This window comes from Homo sapiens, chromosome 18, assembly GCF_000001405.40.
Source record: "Homo sapiens chromosome 18, GRCh38.p14 Primary Assembly".
In the NCBI taxonomy this organism is placed as follows: domain Eukaryota; kingdom Metazoa; phylum Chordata; class Mammalia; order Primates; family Hominidae; genus Homo; species Homo sapiens.
Genome location: NC_000018.10, coordinates 1180911 through 1198704, shown reverse-complemented (window position 1 = coordinate 1198704; position 17794 = coordinate 1180911). Strand labels below are relative to the sequence as shown.

The window sequence follows — 17794 nt, the reverse complement described above, 5'->3', positions numbered from 1 at the left end:
ACTCAGAATTAAAAGGAACACACTACTAATGCATGGAAAACATGAAAGAATCTCAAGTATTATGTTAAGTGAAAAAAATCAGACCTAAAGAGTATACATAGAGAGTTATATGAAATTCTAGACCAGACAAAAGTAATCTATAGTGATAGAAATCACATCACTAATGTATGCTAATGTTAATACTGGTTGGTTTGGGATAGTGTGATTCTTTTTAGTTAGTTATTTAAATATTTTCCTTATTTGTATTTTTGACTTTTTCTGTAGAGAGTGTATATTTAGTTCAAATAAAAAAAGAGGATGGCCAGGCATAGTGGCTCATGCCTGTAATCTCAGCACTTTGGGAGGCCAAGGCAGGAGGGTCACTTGTGTCCAGGAGTTCAGGATCAGCTGAACAACATAGTGAGACCTGTCTTTACCAAAAAAAAAAAAAAAATCAAAAATTAGCCAGGCATGGTGGGACCTGTAGTTCCAGTACTCAGGAGGCTGAGGCAGGATTGCCTGAGCCTAGGAGACAGAGGCTGTAGTGAGCCATGATCACACCACTGCACTCAGCCTGGGTGACAGAGTGAGACTCTCTGTCAAGCAAAAAAAAAAAAAAAAAAGAAAGAGACAGAGATAGGATTACATGTTAAGGCAGGGATCCCCAATCCCTGGGCCGAGGATGGGTACTGGACCATGGCCTGTTAGGAATCAGCTAACAGGTGATTTACAGCAGGAGGTGAGCCTCGGCTAGCAAGCATTATCACCTGAGCTCTGCCTCCTGTCAGCTCAGCAGCAGGAGAGTAAACCCTATTGTGAACTACGCATGCGAGGGATCTAGATTGCACAGCTCCTTATGAGAATCTAATGCCTAATGATCTTAGTTGGAACGGCTTCATCCCAAACCCACCCACCCTCCCTCCCTGATCCCCATTCCTCCATGGAAAAACTCCATGAAACTTGTCCCTGGTGCCAAAAAGGTTGGGGACTGCTGTGTTAAGGTATTTAGATGTCTGTATTTTCTACATTTCCCTCAGCCAAGTACCAATGTACTAGCACATGCTTTCACGGAACGATTAGGCCAAGAATCTTTGAGAAATGTATTAATTTCTCACCACATAATGTCAACCTGCACCACATTTCCAAGGAATTCTACTTTGTTCATGAAAGGTCTCCGTTTTCCTTTTTATGTTTCCATTCTTTTCACGTCAATTCCCTGTCAGAGGAAACACAGAATGAACTGCAGCTACATCAAAGGCAGATTAATTTTAGGTGCAGGTCTAAATATTCTTGACTAGGGATAAGTGTTAAATGAATTAGTTAATCCAGTTTTAGAATACAGAATCAAATTATATATCTTTTTACTTGGTAGATTCAATAATTATTTAACATATTAAAATTTTATGAATCTTGAACTCATTCAGTTTCCTTTTATGAATGTCATCTTTGATGAATCTATGTCATCTTTCCTGCTTGCCTTCTTTCTTTGTGTTTGGGCTGCACTTGGGCTGAAGAAGTTTTCTCAGGTATTAATCCACAGTTATTAAAAACAAAACAAACCACATAAGAATTTGTTTAGAACATGAATATTACTCTATTACTGTGTGGAGTTGACTGAGTAATCATGAGACCTCAGCTAAGGAAGAGCCCTGTAGCAAACTTTGTAACTAATTAGATTATTATGGCACAAGGGGGTTTTAATCTTTTTTTTAATTTTATTATTATTATACTTTAAGTTTTAGGGTACATGTGCACAACGTGTAGGTTTGTTACATATGTATACATGTGCCATGTTGGTGTGCTGCACCCATTACCTCATCATTTAGCATTAGGTATATCTCCTAATGTTATCCCTCCCCCCTCCCCCTACCCCACAACAGTCCCCAGAGTGTGATGTTCCCCTTCCTGTGTCCATGTGTTCTCATTGTTCAATTCCCACCTATGAGTGAGAATATGCGGTGTTTGGTTTTTTCTCCTTGCAATAGTTTGCTGAGAATGATGGTTTCCAGCTTCATCCATGTCCCTACAAAGGACATGAACTCATCCTTTTATATGGCTGCATAATATTCCATGGTGTATATGTGCCACATTTTCTTAATCCAGTCTATCATTGTTGGACATTTGGGTTGGTTCCAAGTCTTTGCTATTGTGAATAGTGCCCCAATAAACATACGTGTGCATGTGTCTTTATAACAGCATGATTTATAATCCTTTGGGTATATACCCAGTAATGGGATGGCTGGGTCAAATGGTATTTCTAGTTCTAGATCCCTGAGGAATCGCCACACTGACTTCCACAATGGTTGAACTAGTTTACAGTCCCACCAACAGTGTAAAAGTGTTCCTATTTCTCCTTCAAAATAGTCCTTGGAATTTTAATCTTCAGAAGACTAAATTATGTTTGTCCATTTGTTTACAGCTTATAAAAATGCTGTCTCTACCATTATATAATCTTTTAAATAATTAATTTAGAAAATAGGAGAATTTGCTAACTGTGCAAGTAGTATAAGCTATTGTGACCCCTGTAGTCATTGGTTAAATCTCATTGATCATATGATCTCACAACTAATAAATCCTAATTAAATATTTAGTATTTAAGATCCTAAATATTTAGGATTTAAAACATTCATATGTTGTTTGCAAAATTTTACAAAAATCATTATTGCTCCCTCAGAGCTCTGTATACTTTGCATTTATCTTCAATGAGCTCCTCCTCACTGAGACCCTAGCATAATATAAATTCATTATTCAATGTCTCCAGAGAAAAAGCTTTTCTAGCATGCAAATTTTAAGCACAAGAAGCATATACTTTTAAATAATTATACTTTTTAAATAAATTTAATGGAAATATTTGTTAAATGTTATTTTTATCCCCACCTTTTAAACAAAACTGCCTATAGCCTAATTTAATGATAATACTTATACATTAGCCAACATAGCAACTTGTAACATCCTCGAATCAATCTTTTAAAATTATCATTATCATCATTTGTTATGATTATTATTATTCAATCCATGGAATATTACTTTAATTTAATTTCAATTAACTTTAATTTTAGAGTTTAGAGTTTTTTCAATTTACTTTTTTTAACTTAAACATTTTTTAGGCCCGGCACGGTGGCTCACGCCTGTAATCCCAGCACTTTTGGGAGGCCAAGGCAGGCGGATCATTTGAGGTCAGGAGTTCAAAACCGGCCTGGCCAACATGGTGAAACCCCGTCTCTACTAAAAATACAAAAATTAGGCCGGGCGCGGTGGCTCATGCCTGTAATCCCAGCACTTTGGGAGGCCGATGTGGGCGGATCACGAGGTCAGGAGACTGAGACCATCCTGGCTAGCAAGGTGAAACCCCGTCTCTGCTAAAAATACAAAAAATTAGCCGGGCGTGGTGGCGGGCGCCTGTAGTCCCAGCTACTCGGGAGGCTGAGGCAGGAGAATGGCGTGAACCCAGGAGGCAGAGCTTGCAGTGAGCCAAGATCGCGCCACTGCAGTCCAGCCTGGGCGACAGAGGGAGACTCCATCTCAAAAAAAAAAAACAAAAATTAGCCAGGTGTGGTGGTGGGCGCCTGTAATACTAGCTACTTGGGAGGCTAAGGCAGGAGAATTGCTTGAGCCCAGGAGGCAGAGGTTGCAGTGAGCAGAGAGTACGCCGCTGCACTCCAGCCTCAGTGAGAACGAGACTCTATCTCAGAAAAAAAAAAAAATTATATGTTGTGAAAAACACATAACATAAAATTTACCACATTAACTATCTTTAAAGTGTATAATTCAGTAGTGTTAGGTTTATTCAACCATAGTGCTCCAGAACTTTTGGAGTTTTTTAACAGCCTCATTATAAAGTCAAAACCAGTATCAAAATATTATTTTAGGTATATTGAATAGGCTTGTGATTGGTATTGTATACATCATCAGAAATTTGGATTTGTTAAATAGAATCATTTGTAAGAGGAGTTTTCCATACAAGGGCAATTATTGTGTTTTTCTCATTTGTCTCTCTTTATGATAAAATTATGACTTGAATTTTAGGTCCCACGTCTTTCTTTGAGATATTGTTAGTTAACTCTGTTGAGAGGTTCACAGTCGTAGTTGTGGATGAGTGCAGTTGCTGCTGCACTACAAATGCTTGAAATGCATGTGATTAAATTACATTCTGGTGGCCTGTCTCTGGAGACTCTCTAATCAGTGTATGCCAATAGCAATGACGGAAGACATAAACTGGGCTCTAAAATGATAATAGTATTGGCTGCCTTCATATAGCAGGGTAAATGACTTTAGAGCTTTGACTTCAGACTTCTTCAACGTGAACCAATAAAATTTTTTAAAAGAGATTTTAGAAAATGAGTGTGTTACGAAGGATGAATAAATCTTAAATGCCAAGTTGACTCAAGAGGCAACTTGAACTAATTAGCATGTCAGCACTAACTCAAGCCAGGAAGTCGAGGATGCTGGTGGCATGAGTTATGCCATCTCTCCCAGATGCAGGTATGAAGATGGAGTGTGCAGGCCCTGCCATAAGCAGGCTGTTCCTTTGGTGTCTTCCTGTGGCCCTTGTCTGGGTCCCTTCTTTTCCTTCTAGCTAAGCCTCATTTCTCGTGTCATTACCACCGCCACATTCTTATTAGCTGTCTATCAAGGTGCTAGAGTCAGACGGGCCTGGGTGATGGTGGGTAAAATTACTGGACCTCCTCCGACCAGTCTCCTCTTCTGTAAAATGGGGAAATAATGCCCACTTCATAGGCTTCTTGTTAGGATTAAACTGGCTAATCCTTTCATTGCAGGAAGCTCAAGCTAGGAAAAAGGTCCACTATTTTTTTTGACAGTTTTTATACCCTGGAGTAGAAGTGTGTGGAAAGGGACTGCTATGCTAAAATCGCCAGTAGTGTTTCTGTTTTTGTTTTAGAAACAACTATATTGTTCCTTTGTTTAGGTAAAGTCTCTAATTACTTTTTGGTTCTATACATGGAAAAGTCAGGGTCCTATTCTGGAATGGAGATTTTGGCATTTGAGGAGCTCAACTGCTCTACGTGATAACATAGTTTAATAGCCAGCTTTCTTTGTAGCATTGTCCCTTTTTCTATTCTATATTTTAACTGTACAGGGTACTTATTGTAGCTATGGGAGAAATAACCACCCTCCCCTAGAAAGGAAGCCCTACACACACTGTGAGTAGCCTGACTGTGAAGCGTGGGTGGAATGTCACTCCCACCGTGAGCTGCCTCGTTGGTCCCTCGAGCTCAGTGGCTGAGGGATGAGAACTGGTAAGGGGATTTGGGGGGTTGGGATGGCCCAGGGCAGTCATATCTAGTATTCAGTTTAATGTGCAGATCAAGTTTTTATTTCTGCTTTGTTATCCACAGGTTTTAGTCACATTGTGCTAAACATTAAAGTTAGTTCTAATTAACTGTGCTTTGGGGGAGGGTCTTATGTTTGTTTCTATACTGGGAGAATAGGAAAGAGGCTGAGAGGTGACCTGCTTAGGGGCAGTTGAAGGTTGCTGAGATGACAAGAAACAGTACATATCTGTAGAATATACATTCCAGGATTTCCAGAGATATTAGAGTTCCAGAGATCAAACAATGCAGATTTGGATTACTGCTATTTGGGTGTTAAAACAAGTGAAATGTTCCTGCTATTTGTGCAGAACAATATCTGCTTTCAAGTTTTTTGTACTTTAAGAAGGTTTTCCTAAGATAGAAGGGGTCGTTTATATCCAAAGAATGGGTTAAGAACCATGAAACAACCCCAATGGTGATATTTTAGGGAAGGTAAATTGTACCAGGTAGGCTATTGCCTACTTACAAATTGGTTCCTGTTTTGTTCCAAAAATAAACAGCATCTCAGAGCCCTCTCACCTTCTCAGAAAATTTGGAAGCCATTAAAGAGTTGGATCTGTGTTTCCTGGTCTGGTTCCTATGCTTACTTTTTTTAAAGCTATTTATTGAAAGGAATAAAACATCTACCTTGATTTTTTAAATTAACTTTTAAGTTCAGGGGTACATGTGCAGGTTTGTTATATGGGTAAACTTCTGTCATGGGGGTTTGTTGTACAGATTATTTTGTCACCCAGCTATTAAGCCTAGTACCCATTATTTTTCCTGATCCCCTCCCTCCTCCCACCCTTCACCCTCTGATAGGTTCCAGTGTGTGTTAAAACGTCCACCTCATAAACATCTTGTGCCACTAGATAGAAAATGTATTTAAAGATTATCTCTACATCCCTTATTCTCACCTATCTGGCAGCTCCTATCCTTGCCCATGCCCATTTTAGTGCTCCAGTAACATGTTGTTGGGTAAGTGACATAGGCTATAGAGAAGGAAGGTGATGCTGGTGATGTGGCCAACAGGACTCGAGTCTCCAAAATCTCTGTGTAAGGGGCAGTGTTACCTTGGGTGTCAGGATTACAGTTACAGAAAAGAGAGCTAAGTTAAGAACTTCAAGAGGAATAGTCCTAGACTTTTCATTTGGAACCTCCCACCACGTGTGTGCCAAATGGAGGAGGATTTCTGACTTAAAAGTTAAAAGTCATGTGAATGGGGGTTTACACTGAGTGCATGCAGACAACCAGGAGAGTGGCAGCTGAAGAACTAGAAATGGACTGATTGTCAGGATGTGCACACTTTAGTGTTGGGTTCTAGTGTTCTAGTGTCGGCTTCTACTTGTATAATATTTTGGAATCTATGTTTTGGTTAATGCAGGAAGAAACTGAACATTTACTTTCTGTCTGAGGCATATCCTATTTCTTTCCTTCTGGATTTTTAAATAACATTATTTCTCTACATTGTCAGATACAATATGTTCCTCTTCAAAGGTTTAACTGTTAGCTTCCCTGTTCTTTGTTCCCAAGATCAACTTCCTTATTTGGAAAAAGTCCTTATTCATCTTGTAAACTACCCTTCCCACCCTCGCGGTGCTCAGACACGCCCAAACCTGCCTTGTCGGCAGCCTTATCACCCTTACTTCTTCCCTCTTCTGCTTCAGCCATCAACACTCTTGTGTTATTACCTTATTTAGGGAAGTTTAAGCTTTAGCCAGTCGGGATTCTTTAGATTGTGCAGTTCAACCCCAGCCAACAGGTGAAGGACACAGAAGCAAGAATTGCATTAGGGATAAAAACCCCTTCTCTCCTTTGTTCGGTGTGCTCTTGAGACCATGCCTGGCACAAGCAGCACCCTTCTGCAGAAGTAAAATTTGCCTTGCTGGGAAAATCTTGTTTAAGTGCTCATTTTCTTTGTGGCACCGAGCATTTGTTTCTAACAACATTAACTCTTGGCTTCATGGGTTTTACTTAAAATGGTTTGTGGAGATACAATGTTTACTGGAACCAAAAACATTTTGCTGTATTTTAAGACAATTTAAGTGCCTGGTGCTCCTGGGTATCAAAAATCAGCTGAAGGCTATTGTTATCAGCCAAACTCATTTTCTATTTATAAAATAATATGGAATGATTTTATTACTATAAGAAAGGTTAGCAGCATGCCTCCTTAGACAATACATGCCCAATAACAGTCTATAATCTCTCAAAGTTATTAGGGAAGACACAAAGAAGCCTGGACGGAAGTGGTGGCCAGTTTACTTGAAAGAAATCTCTTTCTTCCATTTTTTTACTGCCAGGATAATTAGATATAAAACATTTTCTTAAAACTGTAAAAGGTGGGACTTTACATTTGTCCTCTAAAACTTTTATCCATTGACTGACTTAGTAATTTGATATATTACATGGCATTTTAATTTCAACATTTGGGAAGGGAGAATTATCCCTGAAAACACTATTTGTTATTGGGGCTTTGAGGCACTAAGAGTATCTTGCTTTATAAAATCCAGAGGAATTCTAATTTCAAACTTTTGCTGGATTTGGGGTAATTTGGCTGTTTACACCATCTCCATGGTGATTTCCAACACATTTCACACTTAATCTTAAAAATGAGTGTTTTCTACCACATCTTCCACCCACTCTTTTTCTCTTGCAGAAGCTGTTTTGGGTGATACACAATAACTAACTATATTCATATATATTCCAGCAGTTATGTTTACAAACAGATACAATTGCCTGGCAATTTGGTTACTTCTGGATTAAATCTTATTAATTACCTTTTTTTTAAGTATAAATTTAAACACAAATTGTCTCACAGATCACCTTATTTTAATAATTATGAGTCTCCATAATCATATTGCATGAGACTCATCATTATATTTATGCCAGTAAATATTGGAAAAAATATAAGACATATTCTTTAATACTGAGTTATGGTAACAATAGCAAACATTTAATTATGCTTACTATGAGCAAAGTGCTTTAATCCTCACAAGAACTCTCTGAGGTAGGTAATATTCTCATTCCAAGTTTATCAATGAGAAGAGTAAAGCCCAGATAGGTTAAATAAATTTCCCAGTCACGTAGCTAATAAGCAACGGATATGAAACTGGTATCCTAATCAGTTTGCTCTCAAAGCCAGTACTCTTAAGCTGTACGTGTTTTATCATTTGGTAATTCTGCACATAGACAGTATTTATTTCTTATTTAAGTTGGCTGGAAGCTACATATTAAGAAATTAATCATTGTGGATGAGAATGGACTTTTGTAATCAAATTCTCTTAACAGTATTACTGATGAGTATTACTGATAGTAGGTAATTTAGTTCATTCCCCCTTTTGCTATAGAACTGCTCCAATAGGTCCTAGATGTGGATTCAATTCACCATAGCAGGCCACAGCTGCATGAGCAAGCTGGAACCTCCACCACCTGCATCCCTGGCTCGGATACCCTGTAATGGACTGTTTTACTTGTAGTCAGAGACAGCATCCTGAGAGAGTCCCTTTTGCTATTCCTTGGGATACCTCCTTCCTATTCAAGGGGCAGTTCCTCTTATATTTCCTCCTTTACACTGAGGGTTTTCCTTTATTGCCCTGTGCTAAAACCCAGGCACTGAAGTGAGATCACTAGCCAAACACTTCATGGGGTTCTTCTTAAATGCTACCTACAATAAACAAGAACAGACAGGCCCACAAGATTAACAGGCACCAGCCAAGGAAGAAATTCTGGACAGAACTCTGTCTACTGACATTCTTGCTTCTAGTCTCGAATATGAAAGAACACAGATTTAGGAATTAGGACTTTAGTACTAAGTGTGCCAGTAAATTCTCATGGAACTGCAAATTATTTAGTCACTCTGGGCACCAATTTTGTCATTTGTAAAACAGAGAAAAAAGTTATTTCCCAACTTTACAGGGTTGAGATGATTAAATATCTTAGAGTATTTTGAAAACTAGAAGGCACTACACAAATAAAATCTGGAAGCATATGGTATTTCCATACAGCACATTAATACAAGCATAACACTGCGGCTTGTAGGAAACAGAATCAGTGTCCAGGGGTTGAGAATTTGCACATTCTTTCTATGCAAGAAGATCCTGATGACTACAGGAAATAAGAATGAGAACAGGTTCTAGGGAAATTTGGTCTTTTCTCTCTAATCTTTATAGCATGACATTTTGTTTATGGGTTTGATTTTCAGCTCAGTGGACTGCAGGCCTCTCTGTGAAGTTTGTGCTCCTAGGATAAAAGCAAAAGTTACATGCGAATGCTTCCAAATTGAAAATATGAGTCTTAAGCTAATTGTCAAGGGCAAGAAAGAGATCCCAAAGAGCAACACTTTTAAATGTTCTAGTTTGGGGTATCTAGTTTAGGATAAGCTTTTTGTGATAAGCAGAGTTTAAAATGCCTCTCTGCCCCACCCCACTTCGAGATTTCCTGCCCTAATCTTTGAGACTGTGAGTATAATGAGCTATCATGCCTGCTATTATGAATGTACTTAATATTGCTAATCAGTTGACTTTGAGTTAGTCAAAAGGGAGTTAATCAGGCCCAGGTAGGTCTAATCTAATCAATTATTTGTGCCCTTTAAATGCAGAGAATTTCCTCTGGTGGGCAGCAAAAGAGGAAGTCAGAGAGATTCCAAGTAAGACATGGATTCAACATGGCCCTGCTATCTTAGAAGGTGGAGGGGTCACATGGCAAAGCATGCGGGTGTCCTCTACAAGCTGAGAGTGGCCTCAGCCAATAGCAAGCAAGGAAGCTTCTATTTCCATCTTACAACTGCAAGGAACTAAATCCTGCCAATAACCAGAAGAAGCTTAGAAGTGAATTCTTCCCCAGATCTTCTAGGTAAGAGCCCCTCCTGGCCAACAACTTGATTTTGGCCTTGTAAGGCCCTAAGGAGAGAATTTGGTCAAGCTTGCCTGCAATGACCTACAGAACTATGAGCTAATAAATGGGTGCTATTTTAAGCTACTAAGTTTGTGGTTATTTGTTAAACAGCAATTGAAAATTAATAACACTATTGCCTATATTTATGTTTCTACATTGCATTTATTCCTGTTTTGACTCCTTTTGTTCTACCACTGAAAACTGTATTCTGTCTTCCTTATAGCTGTAACTAGGAGTTCTTTTTCTACTGACTTCATCTCCCAATGATATATCTGATATTAAATATGGATGAGATATACTCATGCATCCTTTCATTCCATAAACAGTCATTAAGTGCCTATTATGTGCACTAATGCACATATCTGGGAGTAGAATAATGAAACAAATATTGTCTTTGTTCTCATGGAGCTTGCATTCGGGCAAATAAAACAAGTAATCATCAAATAAACTATAACATCAGCCATTGTGAAGTTTAAGAAAGGATGGTTGGTGAGGTCAGTGGCCAGCTACTGTTGGCTATGGCAAGGAATTTAGATTTAATGGGGAAGTTGTTGGACAGCTTTGAGTAGGGGAATGACAAGATTAGATTTTTATTGTAAAAGGATCACTCTGACTGCTTTGTGGATAATATACCCAATTGGGAGGTGGTAGGTGGGAAGGTAAAGTGAGAGAGGTAAGGGGAGGTGATAGGGCTAGGGAAAGACAGAAGTCTGAAGGAGACATTCTGGTAGCCAGCACTAGATGGGAGTGGTAAAGGTCATGGGAAGTGATTACATTTGGAATATATGTGAAGGTAGAAGATTAAACTGAAAACTAATCTTCAGCTCTTGAATACAAGTGGTTGAGGTGGCTCTTGAGTGATTGGCTCAACTCCTTCACTCCCCATTGATTGAGTACTCACCTTGCATATCAGCTGGTATTCAGATTCCAATTTTGGCTTGGTACATTATGTATATAATTTCACTTCCTCCTTAAAATAGTCGTATGAAGTGAGTATCTTTAATCCTATTAATATTATTCTACATTAAGGATATTCAGGGTTGTTTGTAAACAGATAAAACCGTGTTTGCATGTGTGTTTACCAGCAGTTTGATGTTTAATCATTTCTACAAGTTCTCTTCTACTTGAAAACCAACCACACCTTCTTTAAGACTTTTTTTTTTCTTTCACATATGATTCTTGATCCAGATGTCAGAGGCCAGAACTTGTCAAGAGCGGATAATTATAGCTGAGTCCAGGGATCCTGGAATGGAATTTTTACTTTTGGAATTTTCTTCTGCATTTAGAACATATGGCCTGAAGCAAAGACTGTTGCTAGCTCTGATCCCAGTTTCCATAAACATTGGTGTCTTTTTTGAGTGTGCCACTAGAGCAAGGAAGAGCATCCTGAGAGATTATTCTATATGATGCTGAGTCAGAGCACAGTCTGTATAGTATCACTAGTTGAAAGCAGAGTGCTATTTTAGGTTTCCACCTCTGACACTTGATTTTTGAAAAGCTCTCTAACACATGCAAGTAATGGAGTATCTGATTGTCTAAAATGGTCTAAAACAATCCATTATAAATTCTTCACAATTCCTTTATAATTGAGTTGTTTAAAATGAAAACTAAAACCAAATATAGAATGTCGATCCTCTTGGCATACTTTTAGGAAGTGAAAAGGATAATTTCTGTTCCTCAAATCATTATTTTGAATACCTACTATGCACAAGCCACTGTGTCAAAAACTTACGCCACCAAGATAATTCAAAAGCAACCCAGTCCCTGCCCTCATGGAGCTTTAAGTCTAGTAGAATAAGAAATTATTAATCAAGTACTCACACAAATAAGACTATAGTTACAAACTGAGAAATACTATGAAGCAAAAAGCAACATAAATCTTACTTTTATATTAAATATAAAAAGACCTTGCTGTATGTGTATTTATCTATGTCCTGAGAAAATTTGAAGAAAGAGTGAAATGAATTATCAAAAATATGAATATTCATAAATTTTCTGGGAGCTATTATTTAGAAACATTTTAAAATAAAAAGTTGTTATTTTTTCATTAACAAAGCACGACATCAGCATTTGAACTTTTACAGATCCCACATGGTACTGCCATCCTACTGAGCTAGCATGGCACATGGCCTGCATTTCTTTATATAACTTCTGTATTTTTATGTCTTCATTCATTCATTATTCTTTCAAGAAAAACTCTATTATCTTTTCTATAAAATTGCTAGCCTTTGCATAAGTCTCAAAATTGTACGATAACAATAAAAATAATACTTGTCATTATATTCCTATTATGTACCAGACATGATATATGTATACATAAATATATATATATACTCATTTAATTTTTTTTTGGCAATCTTGAAATGTAGGTACAATTGACTCTTTGCATCTGTGGGTTCCACATTCATGGATTAAACCAACTAAGCATCAAAACTACCTGGAAAAACAATTGCAATTGTACTTAGCATGCATAGACTTTTCTTCTTGTCATTATCCCCTAAAAATACATTAATAACAACTACTTACATAGCATCTACATTATATTAGGTAGTATAAGAAGTCTGGGGTTGATTTAAACTATATGGGGAGCATGTGCATAGGTTTTATGCAAATACGATGCATTTTTTTAAATTTTTAAAATTTTTTTAAAATATTTAATTTAATTTTAAGTTCTGGGATACATGTGCAGGACGTGCAGGTTTGTTACATAGGTAAATGTCTGCCATGGTTGTTTGCTGCCCCTATCAACCCATCACCTAGGTATTAAGCCCAGCACACATTAGCTATTTATCCTGATGCTCTCCCTTTCCCCAGCCCCTCAACCGGCCCCAGTGTGTGTTGTTCCTCTCCCTGTGTCCATCTGTTCTCATTGTTCAGCTCCCACTTATAAGTGAGAACATGCAATTTTATAAAAAGGACTTGAGCATTCTTGGATTTTGATATTTTAAGGAGGTCCTGGGACAAAACCCCCATAGATTGTGAGGGATAACTATGTTAGCCTTATTTCATATGAGGAAACAAGACCCACAGAAATCAGTAAGTTACTCAAGACAATGCAGATACTTGTTGTTTTAAATTCAAATCAGGCTGATCAGGTTCTAAGTCATGCATCTTTTCATTACACTATTATGGTAAGGACAATGACACAGGTACAACAATCGTTACATTTCAAGATGGTGTGTGATGAGTGCCATGTTCTGAAATTAGGATTATAGATTGGAAAGAGTGGCGTTTTTAGCCAAAGTGGCTAAATAGAGGATACCATTTCCTCTATTTACCAGTTCCCAGATCTGCCACATTTTTTCTTTTTGAGGTCTCTACCTAGTACATCATTATCTCCCTCTCCTTTATCCAAACACATTGAGGGTCCTTATAAATGGAGGAGAAAAGACTACTGCTGTCTTTAAAAGTGTTCTCCACTAAAAAGTTTTATTAGGAGTGTAGGAGACAGATTTGTAGTCTAATGTACTTACTCCACTTCTCATTCCAGTTTTTGTAAGAGATACTCAATTGGTGATTCAAGACTGTTTCAGTGTATCAAATAGGTATGTAATATCATTTTCTTGCTTTTAGCAGTAATGGCATATTTGATATCTCCACTCTGAATTTCTCTGTTGATTTAGAAGGCTCATGAAGGCTCATCTGGTAGCATCTTGTGAGACAGTGCCAGCTGGTGAGGCAAATGGCAATGTGGGCTCGAACTGCATCTCCCTAGCCTTGTATCCAATTTGGATCACTTTTTGGTATATGCCAAGCAAACTTGCACTCAAAAGTGGTCTGCATTTTAGGCACATAAATTTAACAACTATGATTAGGGTGGAGAAAAAAGATGATAAATTACATGAATACACTGTAATTTTGCAGAGCTTTTTTAAAAATTCCTAATGCAAGAAATATTTAAACCAGAGTTGGCAAACTTAAAGCCACTGTTAATTTCCCCAACATCCTTATAACTGTGCTTACGTTTCTTACCCTTCCCCAGAGTCCTGTGATTTCCTAAATAATGCATATGTGTTCCAAGACAAAACATGAGTATTGGATGTTTCAATCAAAGGGCTTGAATCGGAATCTGTTACCCGGAGTCGATCTTGGGCAAGTCACTTGTGTTCTAAGAGTATCATTTCTCTCACTGGAAAAATGGTAGCTAAGTTGACCTAAGTCGACCTTTGCTATTTGTTTTTAAAAAGAAAACATATTCGTATACCCAAAGAGTGTTTTGTGGCAAACAAGAGCTTTCTCTTCCTGGAAGAGAGTCTCCTTAGTTTTAGCAAAGAGGCTTCAAGGATCTGCAAACTGGCAGGGCTGCTGAAATGCCACAGACTTGAATTCTGTCAACTGATTCTCTAAGAGTAGTAAGATAACTACGTTGACCTTATATGCTTACATTTATTTTAATCTTATTATAATTGTGAATCCCACTGAAGGACATTAATAATACTGGTTGAATTTTATACTTTTAAAGAAAAGAATACAATTGTCTTAGACTTGTTCGGGTTGCTTTAACAAAATACCACCCAGTTCAAAATACCAGATGGCTTATAAACAGAAATGTATTACTTACAATTCTGGAGAATGGGAAATCCAAGATCAAGGCACCAGCAGATTCAAGATCCAGGCACTGGCAGATCCGGTGTCTGGTGAGGGACTGCTTCTTCGTTCACAAACGGCCTGTCTTCTTACTTTGTCTTCACCTGGTAGAAAGGGTGAGGGAGCTCTTGGATCTCTTTTATTATAAGGGCACTAACTCCATTCAGAGTATTGCTCTCTTTAGAAGTGTTCTCCACTAAAGAGTTTTATTAGGAGTGTAGGAGACAGATTTGTAGTCTAATGGACTGACTTACTTACTTTCACTTCTCATTTCAGATTTTATAAGAGACACTAAGTTTGTGATTCAAGGCTGCCTAATCACCTCCCGAAGTCCTCACCTCCTAATACCATCACACAATGGGTTAAGATTTCAACATACGAATTTTGGGAGGATGCAAACATCCAGTCTATTGCACTATGGTCATACAAAATATTTCTGGTTTTCAAACACCGCATGTTCTCACTCATAGGTAGGAATTGAACAATGAGAACACATGGACACAGGAAGGGGAACATCACACACCAGGGACTGTTGTGGGGTGGGGGTAGAGGGGAGGGATAGCATTAGGAGATATACCTAATGCTAAATGATGAGTTAATGGGTGCAGCACACCAACATGGCACATGTATACATATGTAACAAACCTGCACGTTGTGCACATGTACCCTAAAACTTAAAGTATAATAATAATTTAAAAAAATATTTCTGGTTTTCTTTCTAGGAACATGATATGGTTGCACTCTTTCCCCCCATCTCCTCTTTGGATAAAGGAATGTGAGTAGAAGCGACTTACATCACTATTAGTGAAAGTTTTAAGAAACTGTGTCTATTTGCCACTTCTCTCTTACACAGTTAGGCAAATTTGGAATGACGGCTATTTATCAACCTGTGAATATGGATGCCTGGATTAAAGCTTCTAGCCAATTCATGATGTGCATGTAGAAGGAATGAGAAATAAACCCCCATGTGCTAAGCATTTAAATTTTGGATCTTTTAAAAAATATATTTATTGTGCTAAGAACACCTAACCTGAGATCTATCATCTTAACAAATTTTTAAGCGTACAATACAGTATTGTTAGCTGTAGGCACAATGTTGTATAGCAGATATCTAGAATGCATTCATCTTGTATAAATGAGGTTCTATGCCCACTGATTAGCAACTCTGTCTCTCTCCCCGTAAGTCCCTGGAAAGCAACATTCTACTCTGTGATTCTAAGTTTGACTGCTTTAGGTATTTCCTTTAAGTGAACTCATGCAGCATTTGTCCTTCTGTGACTAGCTTATTTTATTCAGCATAATGTCTTCAAGGTTCATTGAAAGTTCATTCAATGCTGTTGCATTTTGCAGAATTTTCTTCTAAGGCTAAATAATAACCATTGTATGCATATATCTCAGTTTTATTCATTCATCTTTCCATGAGCGTTTAGGTTGTTTCTACTTCTTGGCTAATGTAAATAGTACTGAAATGAATATGGGAATGCTAGTATCTCTTTGAGATCCTGATTTTGATTCTTTTGAATAAATATCCAGAAGTGGAATTGCTAGGTCATATAGTAATTCTATATTTAATTATATATATATTTAGCACATATATATATATGCTAATAAAGTTATGCGGCCAAAAAGTGCCAGCACCTGCCATCTGCAATATGGAGAACCAGGAAAGATGGTGGTATAATGCAGTCTGAGGTAAAAGACCTGAGAATTGGAAGGCCAATGGTGTAAGTCCCAATATGGGTCCTAAAGCCCATGAACCAAAGCATGTATGTCGGGCAGAAGAAGATGTATGTCCCAGCTCAAGCACAGAAAAGAAATTTGCCTTTCCTCCACCTTTTTGTTCTATCCTCAATGGATTGGCTGATGCCCACCCACATTGGTGAGGGCAGTCTTCTTTACTCAGTCTACTGATTCACATTCTAATCTCTTCTTAAGACACTTTCACACATACATACTTAGAAATAATGTTTTACCAGCTATCTGGGTATCCTTTGGCCCAGTCAAGTTGACATGAAATATTAACCATTTACATGCCATACTGGTTTTTGATACCAACTGCTCCATTTAATATTCCCACCAACAGTGTACAGGAGTTCTCATTTCTCCACATCTTCACCAACAATTGAACAAATGTCCCTTCTTTTTGTAATGCCCATTCTGACAGGTGTGAGGTAATATCTCACTATGGTTAGTAACATTGAGTATCTTCTCATATATGCTTTGGTCCCTTGCATGTCCTCGTTAAAAAAATGTGTATTCAAGTCTTTAGCTCATTTAAAAATCAAGTTATTAGTTTTCTTGCTAATGAGTTGTTTACTTTTCTTGTATATTTTGGAAATGAACCCCTTATCAGACATATGGTTTGCAAATGTTTTCTCCCACTCCATAAATTGCCTTTTCATTTTGTTGATTATTTTACTTGCTGTGCAGGAGCTTTTTAGTTTAATATAGTCCTGTTTGTCTACTTTTGCATTTTTTGCCTCTTCTTTTCATTTCATATCCATAAAAGCATTGGCAAGACCAATGTTGCCTTACGTTTTCTTCTGTAAGTTTTATAGTTTTAGGCATTATGCTTAAATCTCTAATCCACTTTGAGTTGACTTTTTTGTGTACATTGTAAGATAAAGATCCAGTTTCTTATTTTTCACATATGGACATTCAATTTTCCTACCACCATTTGTTGAACAGACTATCTTTCCCCATTGTGTGTTTTTGACACCTTTGCTGAAGATCAGTTAACCCTATAGATGCATGATGATGTGGTTTGGCTGTATTCCCACCCAAATCTCATCTTGAATTGTACCTCCCATAATTCTCACATGTCGTGGGAGGGACCTGCTGGGAAGTAATTGAATCATGGGGTGCGTCTTTCCTGTGCTGTTCTTGTGACAGTGAATAAATCTCATGAGATCTGATGGATTTATAAAGGGGAGTTCCCCTGCACAAACTCTCTTGCCTGCTGCCATGTAAGACATGACTTGCTTCCCCTTCACCTTCTGCCATGATTGAGGCCTCCCCAGCCA

The 17794-nt window shown here is 37.9% G+C and overlaps 1 long non-coding RNA gene across 1 annotated transcript in view, besides 1 other annotated feature; it reads right to left on the bottom strand.

Annotated features, from left to right (window-relative positions):
- The window catches only part of LOC105371953 (uncharacterized), a 155413-nt gene that overhangs the window by 55713 nt on the left and 81906 nt on the right, over positions 1 to 17794 (bottom strand). The window contains exons 5-6 of the long non-coding RNA XR_001753318.2: positions 14746 to 14875; positions 1095 to 1195 (exon numbers count right to left, since the gene is read on the bottom strand). This is a non-coding gene — a long non-coding RNA (uncharacterized LOC105371953). The remainder of the gene's footprint in view (positions 1 to 1094; positions 1196 to 14745; positions 14876 to 17794) is intronic.
- Positions 6763 to 7057: an enhancer, noted in NCBI's record as "tiled region #5202; HepG2 Activating non-DNase unmatched - State 24:Quies, and K562 Activating DNase matched - State 9:DNaseU". NCBI's record gives its function as "activates a minimal TATA promoter and a strong SV40 promoter by Sharpr-MPRA in HepG2 and K562 cells {active_cell/tissue: HepG2 | K562}" and the evidence as "EXISTENCE:reporter gene assay evidence [ECO:0000049][PMID:27701403]".